At 51.6% G+C, this 19400-nt stretch overlaps 1 protein-coding gene across 23 annotated transcripts in view, besides 5 other annotated features; it reads right to left on the bottom strand.

Moving 5' to 3' along the window:
- Nucleotides 1–19400, bottom strand: part of TBCD (tubulin folding cofactor D) — a 193850-nt gene that overhangs the window by 85884 nt on the left and 88566 nt on the right. For 3 of the 23 annotated variants that reach the window (XM_005256399.6, XM_047436622.1, XM_047436628.1), the window contains exon 1: nt 195–441. The exons of 18 other annotated variants lie outside the window; for them this stretch is intronic. In XM_005256399.6, the coding sequence (XP_005256456.1) occupies nt 195–228 (34 nt within the window). In that variant the 5' untranslated portion in view covers nt 229–441. Of the gene's footprint in view, nt 1–194; nt 442–1363; nt 1450–5765; nt 6095–19400 lie in introns of those variants that run through there. 2 more of the 23 variants (XM_006722291.5, XM_024450902.2) reach the window with 2 other exon arrangements.
- Nucleotides 23–798: an enhancer, noted in NCBI's record as "H3K27ac-H3K4me1 hESC enhancer chr17:80817109-80817884 (GRCh37/hg19 assembly coordinates)". NCBI's record gives its function as "activates a minimal SCP1, AML or CMV promoter by ChIP-STARR-seq in naive H9 embryonic stem cells {active_cell/tissue: H9 hESC(naive)}" and the evidence as "EXISTENCE:reporter gene assay evidence [ECO:0000049][PMID:30033119]".
- Nucleotides 9456–9958: an enhancer, noted in NCBI's record as "H3K27ac-H3K4me1 hESC enhancer chr17:80807949-80808451 (GRCh37/hg19 assembly coordinates)". NCBI's record gives its function as "activates a minimal SCP1, AML or CMV promoter by ChIP-STARR-seq in primed H9 embryonic stem cells {active_cell/tissue: H9 hESC(primed)}" and the evidence as "EXISTENCE:reporter gene assay evidence [ECO:0000049][PMID:30033119]".
- Nucleotides 10315–10544: an enhancer, noted in NCBI's record as "active region_13016". NCBI's record gives its function as "activates an Ori minimal core promoter by ATAC-STARR-seq in GM12878 lymphoblastoid cells {active_cell/tissue: GM12878}" and the evidence as "EXISTENCE:reporter gene assay evidence [ECO:0000049][PMID:35858748]".
- Nucleotides 14211–14710: an enhancer, noted in NCBI's record as "H3K4me1 hESC enhancer chr17:80803197-80803696 (GRCh37/hg19 assembly coordinates)". NCBI's record gives its function as "activates a minimal SCP1, AML or CMV promoter by ChIP-STARR-seq in naive H9 embryonic stem cells {active_cell/tissue: H9 hESC(naive)}" and the evidence as "EXISTENCE:reporter gene assay evidence [ECO:0000049][PMID:30033119]".
- Nucleotides 14711–15212: an enhancer, noted in NCBI's record as "H3K4me1 hESC enhancer chr17:80802695-80803196 (GRCh37/hg19 assembly coordinates)". NCBI's record gives its function as "activates a minimal SCP1, AML or CMV promoter by ChIP-STARR-seq in naive H9 embryonic stem cells {active_cell/tissue: H9 hESC(naive)}" and the evidence as "EXISTENCE:reporter gene assay evidence [ECO:0000049][PMID:30033119]".

Below are 19400 nucleotides of genomic sequence, written 5' to 3'. Positions count from 1 at the left end.
CAGAAGCAGCAGGGCCCAGAGGACGCCATGCTGGAGCTGACACCCAAGGACACATGAAGCCCAAGAGCAGGACCACGAGGCCCAGGCCAGACGGCTGGGGAGGCCAAAGGCCATGTCACCAGTGCACAATGACAAGCCTGCTCCCTGTCTCCAACCCAGTTATCTCAAGGGTTTTCTTTCTGTTCCCAACTCACCGCCCACTGATGAATCTTTCTGGGTCACTGCCATGAACAGGCAGGACAGGTGGCTCTGAAGACACTTTATTCAGGGTGAGTCTGGGCAGCAGCCCCCACTGTGGACTGGAATCTTTCCACAGCCACACTCCCGGCGGGCAAGCCCTGGCCTCCAGCCTCTGCTGGTCCTCAGGAGCCTGTCCACAATTCTGAACTCCAACCTCCACTCTTTGTCCTCACTACAGGGCTCACACTTGGAGTCTGCAGTGCCGGAAACCACAGAGCAACTTCCGTAGCCCTGAAGTCACAGCTTGTGTGTCTGCTCACCCAACAGGACACACAAGGCCCAATCTCCCTGAAAGCCAGTGTGTGAGTGTAGGGAGGACACAGAGCTGGCAGGCCAGACGACCCACGAGACTCTCTTTCCCTGAAAGCCAGTGCGGGGAGGACACAGAGCCGGCAGGCCAGACGACCCACAAGACTCCCTTTCCCTGAAAGCCAGTGTGTCAGTGTAGGGAGGACACAGAGCCGGCAGGCCAGACGACCCACGAGACTCCCTTTCTCTGAAAGCCAGTGTGTCAGTGTAGGGAGGACACAGAGCCGGCAGGCCAGACGACCCACGAGACTCTCTTTCCCTGAAAGCCAGTGCGGGGAGGACACAGAGCCGGCAGGCCAGACGACCCACAAGACTCCCCTTCCCTGAAAGCCAGTGTGTCAGTGTAGGGAGGACACAGAGCCGGCAGGCCGGATGACCCACGAGACTCTCTTTCCCTAAAAGCCAGTGCGGGGAGGACACAGAGCCGGCAGGCTCCCCATGGCCTCTCGGGGCCCCGAGCAAAGACAATGAGGGTGGGACTCAGGGTTGCCACGCAGCCTGGCCCCGGCCTCACGGCCCAAGACCCCCAGCCCCACAGAGGCGCTGAGAGCCGCACTCATCCCCCCGCAGGAAGCGCCACTGACAGCAGTTCTCTTGTCTAGACAAAGTCCCAGCAAGTCTACACGGGGTAGCCCCAGGCAGCCACCCACGAGCCGCACCCTCCTCGCCACCAAGCGGGATCCTAAGACAGCCATGGACCGGCTGAGCAGGGCCCGTTCACACCGACAGGCCCTTCACACACTCAGTCGATTTTCCATCCACAGGAGGGTCAGAAAATATGAAGGTAAGTACAAGGAAAACACAGGAACCTCACCTCAGGCACATTCAAAAGCAACCCTAAAAAGTGTCCTGTGTCTGTGAGGCACACCCAGCGAACCAGGCCGTCCACACAGCACTGTCATCAACAGAAGCCCCAGCCAGCTACTTTCACAAGCAAAACCTGAATTTCAAGTCAACTGGGATCCTCCAGCCGTAGTACCTGTAGAACTGCCCAGCCAGACTGGCCAACCTGCATTTTATTTTAAATGCCGAATAGGCCTGGAGCTAGCAAAAACACGGAAGACAACAAAATTAGGAAGGTGTGAAAGTAAGTTTAGTAGGTAAAGGGTTTCTTCCAGGTAGAAAGATGTTCATTAAAAGATTCATGAAGAGGTTGCTTTCTGCACATGGTGTATAACCAAACCTAACTAGATCACTTCATGTTTATATGTCACAGCTTAGCTTTGATCCAAAAACATGAATTTCAACTTTCAAAAACAACAAAGGCTGGCTGGGCACAGTGGCTCATGTTCGTAATCCCAGCATTTAGGGAGGCTGAGGCGGGAGGATCACTTGAGCCCAGGAGTTCGAGACCAGCCTGGACAACATAGGGAGATCCCATCTCTACAAAAAAATACAAAAGTTAGCCAGGTATGATGGTGTGCCCCTGTAGCACCAGCTACTTGGGAGGCTGAAGCAGGAGGATCGCTTGAGCCTGGGAGGTCAAGGCTGCGGTGAGCTGTGATCATACCACTGTACTCCTGCCTGAGTGACACAGCAAGACCCTTTTTCAAAAAAAAAACTAAAACAAATTAAAATAATGCTAGATGACGAGTTAGTGGGTGCAGTGCAGCAGCATGGCACATGTATACATATGTAACTAACCTGCACAATGTGCACATGTACCCTAAAACTTAAAGTATAATTTAAAAAAAAAATGAAAAAAAAATTAAATTAAATTAAAAAAAAAAAAAAACCATGAGACACAAGCAGCAAGGTTGTATCATTTGTATGGCTCCTGTGGCTATGCCAAGTAATAACACTCCGACAAGCTTCATACTTTCCTGTCATTCAACAATACGTTACTCCATACAGAATCTCAACTCCAATTTAAAAGTGTCAAATATTTAAAACAAAAAAACAAAATACTTTTTAGACACCTGTATATGTGCATGTGTGTATGTACACATCACACACACCCAAAAACTGCACACACACAGAAAAGAACTGAAAAGAGGGAATTAAAACAATGGTGAAATGTTTACATTAAACACGACACAATACAAAGACATTATCAAAAGAAAAAAAAAGACAACCAACAGAATGGGAGAAAATACTTGCAAATGATATATCTGATAAGAGTTTAATATCCAGAAGATACAAACAGCTTTACAACTCAACAACAAAAGGACAAACAATCCAATTTAAAAATGGTCAAAGGACTTGACTAGACATTTATCCAGAGAAATACACAAACAACCAAGGAGCACATGAAAAGATGCTCAGTGTCATTCGTCATTAAGAAAAATTCAAATCAAAATCACAAGATACCCCCTCACACCTACGAGGCTGATTATAATTTTTTAAAAAAGAACAACACAGGTGTTGGTGAGGACATGGAGAAACCAGAAGCTCTGCGCCTTGCTGGTGGGAATGCAGGGCAGCACAGCGTCTGTGGAAACAGCTTGGGGACGCCTCAGTAACACACCGAGGGTCCGCACGCGGTCCAGCGATCCCGCCCTGGATGCGCACCGAGGGTCCGCACGCGGTCCAGCGATCCCGCCCTGGATGCGCACCGAGGGTCCGCACGCGGTCCAGCGATCCCGCCCTGGATGCGCAGCGAGGGTCCGCACGCGGTCCAGCGATCCCGCCCTGGATGCGCACCGAGGGTCCGCACGCGGTCCAGCGATCCCGCCCTGGATGCGCAGCGAGGGTCCGCACGCGGTCCAGCGATCCCGCCCTGGATGCGCAGCGAGGGTCCGCACGCGGTCCAGCGATCCCGCCCTGGATGCGCACCCAAAAAAGGGGAAGACAGGGATTCAAACAGACACTTGTACGCAAACGTTCACAGAAGCATTCTTCACAAGGGCCAAAAGGTGGGAAAACTTAAGTGTCCGTCAACTGTGTAAGGGCCCTGATAGCATTCATCAAGCTCTGTCCCTGTGACTCATCATCTACGAAAGGCCACACCTAACACTGTGCCCTTGGGAGTCAGGATTTCAGCAGGAATTTTGGGGAACGCAAGCATTGGGGCGTCTGTTTTTTTTCTTTTTTTCTTTGTAGAGACAGGGTCTCACCATCTAGCCCAGGTTGGTCTTGAACTCCTCGCCTCAAATGATCCTCTCATCTTGGCCTCCCAAAGTATTGTGATTACAGGCATTAAGCCACTGTTACTGGCCCCAGCTTTCTTTTGGTTAGTGTTTTCTCAGCATATTCTTTTCTGTCTTTCCTTTTAATCTTTTTATATTCTTGCATTTTAGATGTATGTTGAGTAAAATTCTACCATATGATTTTAAGCTGGTGAGTTTAGTCCATTTACTTCACTGACATGTTTGGGTGTCTTTGTCTTACTATATGAATTTTGCTTTTTCAGATTCAGGCTCATGCCTGTAATCACAATACTTTGGGAGGCCAAGATGAGAGGATCATTTGAGGCCAGGAGTTCAAGACCAACCTGGGCTAGATGGTGAGACCCTGTCTCTACAAAAAAAAAAAAAAAAAAAAAAAAAGTGGGGGGGGAGTCTACCCATACAAAGCAATATTATTCAGCCATAAAAACAAATGAAGGCCTGACACATGCTACAATACAGATGAACCAGGCACAAAGGGTCACGCATTGCAGACTCCATGTGTATAAAATTCTCAGAATAAGTAAACGTAGAGGCAGAAAACAGCCTGGCAGGTGCCAGGGGTTGGGAATACAGTCATGTGTCGTGATGTGTCATGACTATGTGAATGGACACCAGAGTATTTTTTCGGTGACAAAAATGTGTTAAAAGTAGACAGAAGTAATAGCTGTGCAACATTGGGTATGTACTAAATGCTCTGAGTTTTTCACTTTAAAGTTAATGGTTATTTTTATGTTATGTGAAATTTTACCTCAAAACACAAATACACACAGAAAGAGAGAAATGACTTTTTAAGAGCAAACACCTGGCCAGGCACAGTGGCTCACACCTGTAATCCCAGCCCTTCAGGAGGCCGAGGTGAGTAGATCACGTGAGCCCAGGAGTTCGTGACCAGCCTGGGCAACATAGTGAGATCCCATCTCTTCAAAAGATAAAAAAAATTAGCCGGGCACGGTAGCATGCACCCATAGTGCCACAGTGACTTGGGAGGCTGAGGTGGAAGGATCGCTTTAGTCCAGGAGGCCAAGACTGCAGTGAGCCGCGACTACACCATGGCACTCACTCCAGCGTGAGCAACAGAGTGACCCTGGCTCTAAAAAATTAAAAAAAAAAAAAAAAAAAAAAAAAAAAAAAAAAAAGCAAACACCTTTCCCTGCCCCTCTGGAAAATTCAGTCTTGAAGCATCAGGTGGCACCGCATAGGGTCTGCACATCCAGGAAGGGGTGGTGGGGGCCAAAGTGGCCCATATGGGGCGAAGAGGGGTCCGTGAGGTGGACAGCAGGGTGAGGGGGCAGCTGGCAGGCGGAGGAAGGCCACAGGGAGGAAGGCCACAGGGAGATGCGACGCCCCAATGCTTCTGTTCCCCAGAATTCCTGCTGAAATCCTCACTCCCAAGAGCACGGTGTTAGGAGGTGTGGCCTTTCGTAGATGATGAGTCCCAAGGACAGAGCTTCATGAATGCGATCAGGGCCTTTACACAGAGCTTTGCTTGTCTTGTGATTGGCACTGTTAAGTGGCTTGTGTCCACTGCGATGCTGACAGATCCACTCTTTCAATACGTGATAGAAATTTCACGTGTAGCTTTGTGCAGGGTTTTTCTGGTCATCGTTTCCAGCACAGAACGTCAACCATTCCTCCTGTTTCTTAGGTCATCTCTGGCACTCACTCCAGCACCGTGCTCTTACACTGCTGCCCAGCTCCCCCCAGCAGTCTGACTTTCTGTGCGACATGCAAACGTGAATGCTTGCCCCTTTTCTGACCACTGTTACCCATACAAGTAACCTGCAGGCCTTTCTGACATTTTCAACAGTATCTGTACACCCCCATACAAGTAACCTGCAGGCCTTTCTGATGTTTTCAACAGTATCTGTACACCACAGAGCAGAGGATACGCAAACACACGAGCGGTGCGCACAGGTCTCGCCCATGTGGAGCCTCATAAGGAGCCTGCAGCGCCTGCGTCCGGCCTGCACCCGACATTTCATCGCCCTTTGTGGACGTGCTTGCATGAGGGAACCTGGTCTTATGTGGAAAGGATTTATCAAAGCTGAAGGGGGCTGGGAGGATCTTTTTCCCCTTGGGGTGCTGAATCAACTGTGTGTTGTTTACCTGTGTTTTGACTGCAGCCCATCACCTGCAGAGTGTCAACTCAGCATTCAAAAAGTTTTCGGTTTTGGATTTTCGGATTCAGGGTGCTCAACCTGTAATGTCTAATGTTAAACAAGAAGAACTAAAAACTCAACAATGTCAAATATGTCAGATGGAAAGTGATCGAGGTCAGGGTGTGCTGTGTGTTACTTGGAGGGTAGGCTAAGAAGCTGGCTGTTGGCTCTGAATATTCGTGGTACAAGCTGAATACGACCCCTGAAGAAACACAGGAAACAGAATAGATGATTCCAAACCAACAAGGAAGAAGATGTGGAATGGGACTGGGTTGGGGGCCCAATAGGAACCACAACTTTTAAAAACAAAAAAAAATCTGAAAAAGCAAAATTCATATAATAAGACAAAGACACCCAAACATGTCAGTAAAGTAAATGGACTAAACTCACCAGCTTAAAATCACATACGGTAGATTTTTACTCAACATACATCTAAAATGCAAGAATATAAAAAAATTAAAAGACAGAAAAGAATACACTGAGAAAACACGAACCCAAAGAAAGCTGGGGCCATTAACAGTGGCTCATGCCTGTAATCGCAATACTTTGGGAGGCCAAGATGAGAGGATCATTTGAGGCGAGGAGTTCAAGACCAACCTGGGCTAGATGGTGAGACCGTCTCTACAAAAAAAAAAAGAAAAAATGAGCTGGGTGTGCTGGCAAACACCTGTAGTCTCAGCTACTTGTGAGGCTGAGGTCAGGGGATGGATCTAGCCCATGAGTTCAAAGCTACAGTGAGCCGTGAGTGAGCCACTGCACTCCAGCCTGGGCAACAGAGCAAGACCCTGACTCAAAAACAGAAAAAAAAAAGGAGGGGGGGTGTTGCTGGATGCAGTGGCTCAAGCCTGTAATCCCAGCACCTTAGGAAGCTGAGACAGGTGGACTGCTTAAGCCCAGGACTTTGAGACCAGCTACATGGCAAAACCCTACCCTTACAAAAAAAGAAAAAGAAAAAAAATACGACAATTAGCTGGGCGTGGTGGCACATGCCTGTGGTTCCAGCTACTCAGGAGGCTGAGGTCAGAGGATCACTTGCGCCCAAGAGGTCAAGGATGCAGTGAGCTATGATCACACCACTGCACTCCAGCCTGGGCAACAGAGCAAGAACCTGTCTCGACAAAATAAATTAATTTAAAAAAAAAGAGAGAGAGAAAGCTGAGTAGCCACATTCACATCGGGCATAAAGAGGCACTCTCCATCACGAGCTCTCGTCCTCGGGAGCCGCTCTCCATCATCATCACTAACCTCAAAACAGAACGCATCGCAAGCCAGACACGGTTCTGAGCTCTGAATACGTTCATTCCCTTAACTTTCCGAACAGTCCTATGCTCCAAGCCCAGGCCTATACCCAAGACAAAAACCACATCCACACAAAAACTCACACACGAATGCTTTATTCACAGCAGCCTACAGTGGGAAACAACCCAAACGTCTACCAACTGACAGATGGATAAATAAAATGCGGCCTCCATGTACGTCGTGGGCTGAATTCTGTCTCCCTGAAATCCACATACTGAAGTCTTAACCCCAGTGCCCCCGAGTGCCTGTATCTGGAGATGTGGCCCTTAGAGATGCGTAAGGTAAAATGAGGCCACGCAAGTGGGGCCCGGATCTGCTATGACCAGTGTCCGCCTAAGAAGAGGAAACAAGGACACCAAGACACAGACCGAACGGCGAGCACGCAGCAGGAAGGCAGCGCCTGCAGGCCCAGGAAAACCCGGAAGAAACCGAGCCTGCTGCCGAGCCTGCTGGCACCTCGACCTTGGACACCCAGCCTCCAGAACTGTGAGGGATACATTTGTGCTGCTTGAGCCCCCATCTGTGGTGACTTGTTTCCACAGCCTGAGCTGACTAAGATGCCACACGATGGAACAGGCTTCAACAAGGAAAAGAAAAGGAGCACTGCTGGGGGCTGCATCGCCCACGGACCACGCCAACGCCACGCTCGGGGCAAGGAGCCACCACAGAGGACCACAGGGGGCACGGTTCCATTCACAGGAAATGTCCAGAATGGGTAGACACAGAGAACCCATCTGTGGTGTCTAGGAGGGGGGGTTTATCCATCTGTCGGGGGGGTTGGGGATGACAGCGAAGGAGCGTGGGGTAAAATGTTCTACAACTGACTGTGGCGATGGCTGCAAAACTCTGCAAATGCGTTACAAGCCACTGAACTGTACACTTAATGACAGAACTGAATGGCATGTGAATTGCGTCTCAACAAAATCATTAAAAATCCTATGGGGTCAACAGTAATCGTTCCCGCTTACAAGCAGATGCGCTGAAGCAGTGAGGAGTCACTTTTCTATTCCCACCTGGGTCAACTTTGATAAATTACATTTCTCTCGGAACGTCTATTTTGCCTAAGCTACCAAATTTCCTGGCAAAAGATATTCTTAACATGCCATTTTCCATCTCCACGGTGGCTGCACGAGGGCTCCCTTCCGTGTGTAAGGCTCCTGCTTTCTGCCCGTCGGCCACGCGTTTATTGGTCCCATCAGCCCTCTCGAAGAGCTGCGTTTGGCTCTGTGTGTCCTCTCTCATCTTTGTCTTCCACCTCCTTCATTTCTAGGGTTCTGCTCACTGCCCTCTTCCCACCCGCCCTGTGCAGAGTGAACCTTTCTCCTTTTCTGTACACGTGTCTGAGGCCGAGTCACCAAGTGATTCCTGCCAGGGCCAGAGAGAACCTCGGGCCCTGTGGGCCACATGCAGTCCACATCGCAGACTCTGCTTGGTTGTGTTTATTCTCATTGATAACATTTTTAAAATGTGAAAACCCTTCTTGGCTCCAAAGCTGTACAGAAACAGGCTGAGGCCCCACTGGGCCTGCAGGCCACAATTTCGTCACACCTGTTTAAAGGTTTAAGTTTCCTTAGCTGCATCCCAAAATTTTAGATAGAATAATTTTGTGACTGTTTATTTTTATTTTTAAACTTTTTTAACTTTTTATTTTAAAACCTCCTGAGACTTGACTCATGTGATTTACACATTTGTATATCTTCTAACTAAAAATTATCACCTTTCCTTTATTATTCTGTATCCAGTTTTTAATTTCATTACTTTGTGAGCATGGAATACCATCTGTCCGCCAGTGAGTCTCTGAAATGTCTCGAGACTTGTTTTATGGCCTGGCTGTGTAATATCTGTGAATGTTCCTCAGGTGCCTACAAATGTGTATTCTCCAACGGCTAGCTACACGGTTCTGTATCAATTATGGAATCATGCCAGTCGCCTCTGCTGTTGAAATATTGTATGTGCACACACAGTATGTAATGTGCGTTTTATACATATCTATATCTCCACTACATATTTAGTTATCAATAATTGGGAGGTGTTTTGAGCTCTCAGGAGGATACCGGGTCTGTCCATTTATCTCTGCAGACCTATTAACTTTTGCTTTTCAGCTTTTAGAAAGCTGAGTCAGTCCAGACTCACCACAAGCCCCATACGAATTCAATGCAGGGATGGATCAGGGCTGATGAGGCCATGGGGGCCAAATCACCAGTCCATGCACAGCCATACTGTAGGGGGTCCGGGGTCAGCACACACAACCAACAACAGCACAGCCAACAACAGCACAGCCAACAGCAAAACAGCACAGCCAACAACAGCACAGCCAACAACAGGACAGCCAACAGCAGCACAGCCAACAACAGCACAGCCAACAACAGCACAGCTAACAACAGCACAGCCAACAACAGCACAGCCAACAGCAAAACAGCACAGCCAACAACAGCACAGCCAACAACAGCACAGCCAACAGCAAAACAGCACAGCCAACAACAGCACAGCCAACAGCACAGCCAACAACAGCACAGCCAACAACAGCACAGCCAACAACAGGACAGCCAACAACAGGACAGCCAACAACAGCACAGCCAACAACAGCACAGCCAACAGCAGAAGAGCACAGCCAACAACAGCACAGCCAACAGCAGCACAGCCAACAACAACACAGCCAACAACAGCACAGCCAACAGCAGCACAGCCAACAGCAGCACAGCCAACAACAGCACAGCCAACAGCAGCACAGCCAACAGCAGCACAGGCAACAACAGCACAGCCAACAACAGCACAGCCAACAACAACACAGCCAACAGCAGCACAGCCAACAGCAGCACAGCCAACAGCAGCACAGCACAGCCAACAGCAGCACAGCCAACAACAGCACAGCCAACAACAGCACAGCCAACAACAGCACAGCCAACAGCAGCACAGCCAACAGCAGCACAGCCAACAGCAGCACAGCCAACAGCAGCACAGGCAACAACAGCACAGCCAACAGCAAAACAGCCAACAACAGCACAGCCAACAACAGCACAGCCAACAGCAGCACAGCCTCAAGAGCTGCCGCGCACGGGGGCTACTGCTTCGCTTCTGCCTCCAGATTGTGCACAGCCCTCTCCGAGGACTACCAGGGAAGGGGGTTCCAGCAGAAGGTCCTGCCTGGCTGAGGTGACATGACGCAAAGCCACCATGGTCGCATCCTGTGAGAGGGACCCGTGTGGCACCACAGGCAAAAGCAGGTCTCTCTGGACAATGGCAGTCCCACCCCCGGGGCGACCACGAGGATTCTCAGTTTATCCGTGTGCTTGGAACAATGCCTAGTGATTGCTAGTGCCACGCGGTTCTTACTTTACTTCCTACTTTCAGAGCTTGAAATGAACTTGAGATAACCTAAAAAGACACCATCAAAAAACAGGTTAAGGAGACGAAAGGGGAAATGAAAACCACAGCGAGGAAACAAGGAAGATATGAAAAGGGGCCAAAACCAAGGTCTGGAAATACCTGAAGGAAAAGATTTCACTGCAATGGATGGAAATGTGACTCTCAGGACTTAGCTGAGGAGAAACAGTGGCCCTGAAGACCAAGCCCGGTAGGCAGCCCCGACGCAGCAGACAGAGGGGGACATCGAGGTGGAGAAGACGCAGCAGGCAGAGGGGGACATCGAGGTGGAGAAGACGCAGCAGAGCGGGGGACATTGAGGTGGAGAAGACGCAGCAGGCAGAGGGGGACATCGAGGTGAGAAGACGCAGCAGGCAGAGGGGGACATCGAGATGGAGAAGACGCAGCAGGCAGAGGGGAACATCGAGGTGGAGAAGACGCAGCAGGCAGAGGGGGACATCGAGGTGAGAAGACGCAGCAGGCAGAGGGGGACATCGAGGTGGAGAAGACGCAGCAGGCAGAGGGGGACATCGAGGTGGAGAAGACGCAGCAGGCAGAGGGGGACATCGAGGTGGAGAAGACGCAGCAGACAGAGGGGGACATCGAGGTGGAGAAGACGCAGCAGGCAGAGGGGGACATCGAGGTGGAGAAGACGCAGCAGGCAGAGGGGGACATCGAGGTGGAGAAGACGCAGCAGGCAGAGGGGGACATCGAGGTGGAGAAGACGCAGCAGAGCGGGGGAAGACACAGAGGTGCAGAAGCCTCCAGGAGACACAGGAGAGAGGATGAGAAGGGATCAAGCCCATTGACCTTTTGTCTGTTCGCATCTATTTTCATCGTTAGGTTTTTCACTGTTATTTTGTAGCATGAAAAAAAAGAAGATCTGAGTGCTAATTTTTTTCATTTTACTTGTCCTTGTGCGATTTAACTCATGACTTCTGTACCTGGCTGCTGTGCATGTAGAGGCACCCTCTGAATAAACTCCCTAGACGGCGGCCACATGAGTTGCTCTGGAAAACTAACAAGTCTGAGTCAGGCGAGTGAGAATGCCGAAGCGTAAGACACCTCGCTGTCGGGGTTCAGGGAGGAGAGGAGCTGAAGAAAACTGTGGGAATTCTTAAACTTGGCCCAAGTTCACAAACCTGAATTGGGTTTCCCAATCAAAGACAAAACAAGCCATACATAGCTCAGGGTTTCAAGTTTCCCTCTCAACACAGAAGCCGCAGCGCCAATCCGCACAGGAGAGGAGGGAGCGACAGGACGCTGTTTAAACAGAAACCAAAAGCCGCTCGCCCTCCCTCTGACTCTGACGGTGCCTGCAGAGCCGCCAGAAGCCCCATTTCCGAGGCCGCTCAGGGCGAAGGTGTTGGAAGGGAGGAGCCGGGGACTGTGCGCCCAGTACAAAGGCTACCCACAGGCCACACACCCAGAAACTGCCAGCCCTGCCACAGAGCACCATCCCACAGGGCCGCGCCCACCCATCTCCTCACACTCACCAGGCAAGAGACAGCCTGGAGGGGCCTTGGTAGGAAAAAGGGGCAACAGACAGGGGCCGTTTGCTCTACTCCCACTCGTCTGAAAAAATTAAGTTAGCCCCAGTTCCATAAAAATTCAAATCGTGGGCCCGGCCCGGTGGCTCACGCCTGTAATCCCAGTAATCCCAGCACTTTGGGAGGCCGAGGAGGGTGGATCACGAGGTCAGGAGATCAAGACCATCCTGGCTAACATGATGAAACCCCATCTCTACTAAAAATACAAAATACTAGCCAGGCGTGGTACCACGCAACTGTGATCCCAGCTATTCGGGAGGCTGAGGCAGGAGAATGACTTGAACTCGGGAGGCGGAGATCGCACTACTGCACTCCAGCCTGGGTGACAGAGCAAGACTCTGTCTCAAAAAGAAAAAAGAATTAAATTGTGGCGTTATTTGTACAAACAAATTAAAATTTAGGTATTGGCATGACAAATCTCAGACTTCAACTTACAAATAAAGCCCTCCACTACTCATCAACGTCAACAAATGTCCAGAAAGAAAGCTTTCCCCAAATTCTCTCATACACCTTGGCTGTATCTCACCACAAGAGCCAAATCAACTCCACTTTCATTTCTCTGCATCGCTGAGTTGTCTGACACAGTCAGTAAAACCCCACTGATGTTCTCAGGGTTGTTTCTTTTTTTTTTTTTTTTTTTTTTTCTTTGACATGGAGTCTCGCTCTGTTGCCCAGGCTGGAATACAGTGGCATGATCTCGGCTCACTGCAAGCTCCGCCTCCCAGGTTCACACCATTCTCCTGCCTCAGCCTCCCGAGTAGTTGGGATTACAGGCACCCACCACCACGCCCAGCTAATTTTTTGTGTATTTTTAGTAGAGACGGGGTTTCACTGTGTTAGACAAGATGGTCTCGATCTCCTGACCTCATGATCCGCCCACCTTGGCCTCCCAAAGTGCTGGGATTACAGGCGTGAGCCACCACGCCCGGCCTGTTTCTTTTTAATGAGAAACCAAATGTCTCCTCGGCCACCTGTAGAAAATGGCTGAGCGGTGCCCACAGCGCCCAGAGCAGGTTGGGCCCAGACCTTGGCCACGACCACAGGCACATGGCGGGTGAGGACCCCGGGGGTGCAGCTGGGCTTGGCCATGTTAGCCTGTGTGGCCCAGAGACCAGACACCCGAGGCCCGGCTCCTGGACACGCGGTCCCAGGCAATGAGGGTGGGTGGGGAGGGAGGCGCCCCTTCTCAGCTGCGCTCTGTTCAGTTAAATCAACTTCCCAAAACACAGGGGCCTGCAGGGGTTCTCAGGCAGGTGACCATGTAACACAGGGGAAGGGCTGTGACCCGCTCCTGGGCTGCTGCTCCGAGGTGACGGGGGCAGAGAGGTGTCCAGGCCTGGCTGGCGGCTTCCAGACAACCCGAAGGCAGGGCCTAGAGCCCTAACCCAAGCCAGCAAGCCTGTGTACCACCATCTCCGAAATCTAGGACAGTCTCCAAGCTTCCCCTGGGTCTCAGCCAGTCTCACTACCGCCAGGGACGGAAGGCAGAGGCCACAGCAGGGCCCTGCAGCAGCAGGAAGGGCACCTCACTAGGGAAGAAAACCAGGAAAGGAAGGGGAAGGGGAAACAATGGAAGTCCCAAAGAGAGCAGCGGGCAGCAGAGGGCTGGACGAGAGGACACGGCACATGGGACACAGCGCATGGAGGGGGCAGCAGAGGGCTGGACGAGAGGACACGGCACGCTGGACGCAGCACGTGGAGGGGGCAGCAGAGGGCTGGACAAGAGGACACAGCACAGAGGACGCAGCGCGTGGAGGGGGCAGCAGAGGGCTGGACGAGGGGACGTGGCATGCCGGACGCAGCACGTGGAGGGAGGCACAGGGCTTACACCCTCACCCCCTAAGCCTCCCAGTCCCATCCCACAGTTCTGCCCACTGGCCTGAGTCCCTTTAGAAGCGCAGAGCCCTGAGACACAACACAGCCAGGCGAGAGGTGCCCTCCGGCCCGGAGCCGTTCCTGAAGCTGTGCCCTCGGGGGATAGAATGTTGCTGTGTCTCCCCTACAGCCGCGTCAAAATCAGACTGGGAGGCTGATGCCAGGCCTGTGGATTTTCCGCAGAGTTTTCATTTCCTTTCTCCTTTCCTCTGGATGCAGCACCTCACAAGGAACACAAAGGATTAAAACAGAAACAATCTTGTATTTTAAGAAGATCCAAGATGTGACGCCCTTCCTTCATCACAGGTGTTCTGTGAGAGATGCTCACAAGTCCCTTTCACGGACAGGAAGACCGAGGCCCAGGGAGGTCAGCAATTGCTGCCCCAAGTCACAAAGGGTGAAGATGGAAGAGCCAAGACTTGAGTCCCAGCACACAGTGCACTGGAGAGGATGCTGCTGCGGAAGGGACCGGGGTGGGCTGGGCAGGACGGAGAGGAAAGGGCTGAGCCGGACAGGACGGAGGGAGAGCAAGGGGCCAGGCCAGACAGGACAGACGGAGAGGAAGGGGCTGGGCCACACAAGATGGACAGGAAGGGGCTGAGCTGGACAGGACGGAGAGGAAGGGGCCGGGCCGGACAGGACAGACGGAGAGGAAGGGGCCGGGCCAGACGAGATGGAGAGGAAGGGGCCGGGCCGGACAAGATGGAGAGGAAGGGGCCAAGCTGGACAGGACGGAGAGGAAGGGGCCGAGCCAGACAGGATGGACAGAGAGGAAGGGGCCAGGCCAGACAGGACAGAGAGGAAGGGGCCAGGCCGGACAGGATGGACGGAGAGGAAGGGGCTGGGCCGCACAAGATGGACAGGAAGGGGCTGAGCTGGACAGGATGGAGAGGAAGGGGCCGAGCCGGCCATGTCCTGTGCCTCACCCCCGACCTGGAAACTAGGAAAGCTCAACCAGGACTGCACTTCCAGCCTGTGTGCCCCTAGGGAAAGAGGCCCTGACACAGAGGCCGCGGCGCCAGCACCTGCCTGGGTCCCTGGCACCCCCCAACACACACTGGCACCGGTGCTTACCCCCAAGAGCAGCCACCACCCCAGGTACCCCTCCTTCCCCACCCAGGGAAGCACCCCCCACCTCTGGTGTAACTCTGCTCATCGCCCTCTGGGCTGGGTACCTCGGCCATGTTCCCGACCTGTGGGTGGGGGGACTCCACAGGCCAGGTGCGTGGTGCTTCTGAGTAAATGGACCAGTGCAGGTGATGCACCTGGCACGGTGCCCCACACCATCAACACGCAAGAAACATCAGCTGCCACCCCCATGACGGTTCCTAAGATTTGGTCAAAAACCTAATCGCAAGAATTCTGAGTAACACAGGGGGTTGAACATGTAAAAAATAGCGGGTAAAATCCCACTAAAAACAGCAGAAACGGACCATTTTCTTTTTTCAAGAAATAAGCTACAGGGTAGAAGAGGAAGGGCAGGGAAGGCAGCACCAGGACCACGGAGGAGCCTGGAAGTGCAGGGACAGCAGGAAATGCCTCAGACCAAGAAGCCCAGCCCTCCCCTGGAGGGAGGCAACTCAGACTCCCCCTGATCCACAGGACAGGTCCCTAAAAAGCTCCAGATCTGTGGCACCAGAGAACTCTGTGGGGAGGGGCAGGGTAGGCCTAACCCAAGGAGCACTGGGGCAGGAGACAGGGCTGACTCTCCGAGGTGCTCAGCAGAGGCCCTGGAAGGCAGGCAGCCACACTGACGATGCAGGGAGGGCACCAGGCATGGCATGGCGCTCCTGCAGTCCCAGCTACCCGGGAGGCTGAGGCAGGAGAAGCACTTGAGACCCGGAGTTCAAGTCCAGCCTGGGTAACACAGCAAGACCCCAGGTCTTTAAACACACACACACACACACACACACACACACGGAGAACATCCACCCCCACTCCTCCACTCCCCACTAAAAGAAAGCTATCACTAAAATCCTTAGATAAGAAAAGCTACTGAAAGTACTGCATGAGAATGAGATGCTACAAAAGGAACACTCAGAACAAAACAGAGCTCATGGAAACCAAAATCAGAAACCAAGTACTTAACAGAAGTGTTGAAATATAAAGTTAAGAAAACTAAGACTACTGAGGATAAAGGAAAGAACCTGCAGGTGAGAAACAGCTGTCCATAAAAATCAGGAATCACTACTGACATAAAATTCTACAACACATAAAACTAATCCATGGTGGAAAAGTATCAGCCTGCAGTTGCCACGGTCTGGGTGGGGAAGGGTGGCACTGCTGTGACGGAACTCTCTGGGGCCATAATGGGAGAACACATTTGTCAAAACTCGTTAAATGATCCTCTTAAGACCTGTGCCCTTCACTGAATGTAAACCTTACCTTTGAAAGAAGAATCATAAACTAATAAGAATATGCCTGAAAAGTGTTTGGGGCAAAGCATACTGATGTCTGCAACTGACCTGAAATGCAGCAAGACGATTAAGCTGGATGGGGAGGGGAAGGGAAGGGTAAGTAAGCTGGACGGGGAGGGGAAGGGAAGGGTAAGTAAGCTGGACGGGGAGGGGAAGGGAAGGGTAAGTAAGCTGGATGGTGAGGGGAAGGGAAGGGTAAGTAAGCTGGATGGTGAGGGGAAGGGAAGGGTAAGTAAGCTGGACGGGGAGGGGAAGGGAAGGGTATGTAAGCTGGATGGGGAGGGGAAAGGAAGGGTATATAAGCTGGACGGGGAGGGGAAGGGAATGATAAGTAAGCTGGACGGCGAGGGGAAGGGAAGGGTATGTAAGCTGGACGGGGAGGGGAGGGGAGGGGAAGGGAAGGGTAAGTAAGCTGGACAGGGAGGGGAAGGGAAGGGAACACAGACAGCTGTGTTAACTGGAGAACCCCACCGTTGGGCATATGAGAGTTCACTGGAGCATCCTTACAACTTGTCTGTATTTTGAAAATTTTCACACTAAAATGTTAAGAGAGAAAGAATCAGGAATCAGAATGGCATCAAGGTTCTCAACCACAGTACTAGAAGCTAGAGAAAATAGAGAACACTTGCGGCCGGGTGTGGTGGCTCACACCTGTAATCCTAGCACTTTGGGAGGCCGAGGCGGGCGGATCACGAGGTCAGGAGATCGAGACCATCCTGGCTAACACGGTGAAACCCCGTCTCTACTAAAAATACAAAAAATCAGCCGGACGTGGTGGAGGGCGCCTGTAGTCCCAGCTACTTGGGAGGCTGAGGCAAGAGAATGGCGTGAACATGGGAGGTGGAGTTTGCAGTGAGCCGAGATCGCGCCACTGCACTCCAGCCTGGGTGACAGAGCGAGATTCCATCTCAAAAAAAAAAAAAAAAAAGAAAGAAAGAAAATGAAGAACACTTGCAAAAATCTGAAGGTAAATGATTTCTGGCCTGAAATTCTAGACTCAGCCAAACTATCAGTGAGGTTGAAGAGTAGATAAAAACATTTTCAATAATTCAAGACCTCCAAAAAAATCTCTCTTGCACTTTCTCAAGAGCCTATAAAAGGTGTGTGCCTCATGTCAAACTAAATGATTAACTCAAGAGAAAGACGACATGGGATCCGAGCAGCAGGCCTTCCAGTGCAAGAGAGAGGCAGGCAAAACCCCCTGGGTGACGGGGAAGGCAGACATGGGGGCAGAAGGGGCAAAGAGAGGCAAATTCCCATCTTCCATGAAGGGAAGCCACCAAACAACACCTCGACCAGGAGTGGAGAAGGGAGAGAGGGGGAGAGAGGGCACAGAACCACCAACAGATCAGTAAGGCTGGAATCGAGGAGGTAAACACCCAGCCAGGCGCTGGGATAAGCTCCCTCCCTGCCGTCTCAGCTCCCAAGGAGGACCAGGGACAGAGACTCTCAGGAGCAGGGTAGAGGGTGGAAGGTACACAGATTCTCAAAGGCCTCACTGGACCCTCCATGGCAAGGGTCAGAACACTCAGCTTAGGAAAGGCCAAGGTGGGGCTTCCGGGCAGAGGGAGTCGTAGCGCAGACACCTGGCACTCCTGCCGCTGAGAGGTGGAGCCCTCGGCTCCCGCCTTGCATCTGGGCAGCACGAGGCTGCCTCAGCAGAGAAAGGTGACAGAAGGGACACCCTGACAATCTGCGGCCCAGCCTTCTGGAGGACTGGAACCTTCCGCCTTGCTCTCTTGAAGTCCTGAGCCATCATACAGCTGACCACCCTGCTAGGGAGGCCTCTGAAGTGCTACTAAGTGAGGATGAGGTTCCAGCTGATCTCAGGATTCCAGCTGCCCCTCCAGGACAGAAGGCAGGTGAGTAAAGCTGTCCTGGACCCTCCAGACCAGTCACCTGCCAGCTTTCTCCCACGGAGCCACCTCAGTCAGTGTCCATGAAACAGAAGCAGCACTCGGCCAGGCCCTCCACAAACTCCTGACACAATATATCCTAAGACGTAATAAAACGGTGCTTGTTTTAAGCCACTAAGTTTGGGATAGTTTGCTATCCAGGAATAGGTAAGAGGGACAGGGAACTGCTGTTTTTTGTCATAAGACTTACATAACTCTTTTTGACTTCATAAAGTATATGGATGTCTCAATGGACAAAAGCCACCAAAAAAAATTTTAAGGTATTAAACCATCCTAGGAAACATGGCAAAACCCTGTCTCTACAAAAAATTCTCCAGGCATAGTGACCGTGCCTGTAGTCCCAGCTACTGGGGAGACTGAGGCGGGAGGATCACTCGAGTCCAGGAGGTTGAGGCTACAGTGAACCGTGATCGCACCACTGCACTCCAGCTTGGGTGACAGGGCAAGACCCTGTCTCAAAAGAAAAAAAAAAGGAATTAAATATAAAAGTAAACGCAAAGCCATGTAAAATCTTAAGTCTTAAGGAAAAAAATAACAAAAACAAAAAAACAGACCGGGTGCAGTGGCTCACACCTGTAATCCAAGCACTTTGGGAGGCCGACGTGGGTGGATCACAAGGTCAGGAGATCAAGACCATCCTGGCTAACACGGTGAAACCCCATCTCTACTAAAAATACAAAAAATTAGCCGGGCGTGGTGGCAGGCGCCTGTAGTCCCAGCTACTCGGGAGGCTGAGGCAGGAGAAACGCAGTGAGCCAAGATCATGCCATTGCACTCCAGCCTGGGCAGCAACAGTGAAACTCTGTCTCAAAAAAAAAAAAAAAAAAAAAAAAAAAAACCAGTTTGTCTGTCCTGGCCAGCTCGTCCCTATGCCACAGCCCTGCAGCCTCTGCCCTGCAGCCTCAGGCTCATCCAAGGGCCTGACACCAGCTCATCCCACCTCCTTTCCCAGTCCTCAAACCGACACCACATGCCAGCCTTCGCTACAACTGGGGTGCGGCCTCCGATTAAGCAAGCAAGCAGTTTTGGTGGGGGGGTGTGGAGGTAAAAACTGGCCCCCAAGTTAAGTGCCTCTGCAATTTAAAGTGGGGGGAGGGTGGTTTGCGGGAGTGCACAGCTGGCCCCCTCCCCCGCACCCACACACCCTGCTCCGCAGCTCTTG

The sequence above is a fragment of the Homo sapiens genome, chromosome 17 (genome assembly GCF_000001405.40).
Source record: "Homo sapiens chromosome 17, GRCh38.p14 Primary Assembly".
In the NCBI taxonomy this organism is placed as follows: Eukaryota; Metazoa; Chordata; class Mammalia; order Primates; family Hominidae; genus Homo; species Homo sapiens.
This window is presented reverse-complemented; position numbering and strand designations above follow the sequence as displayed.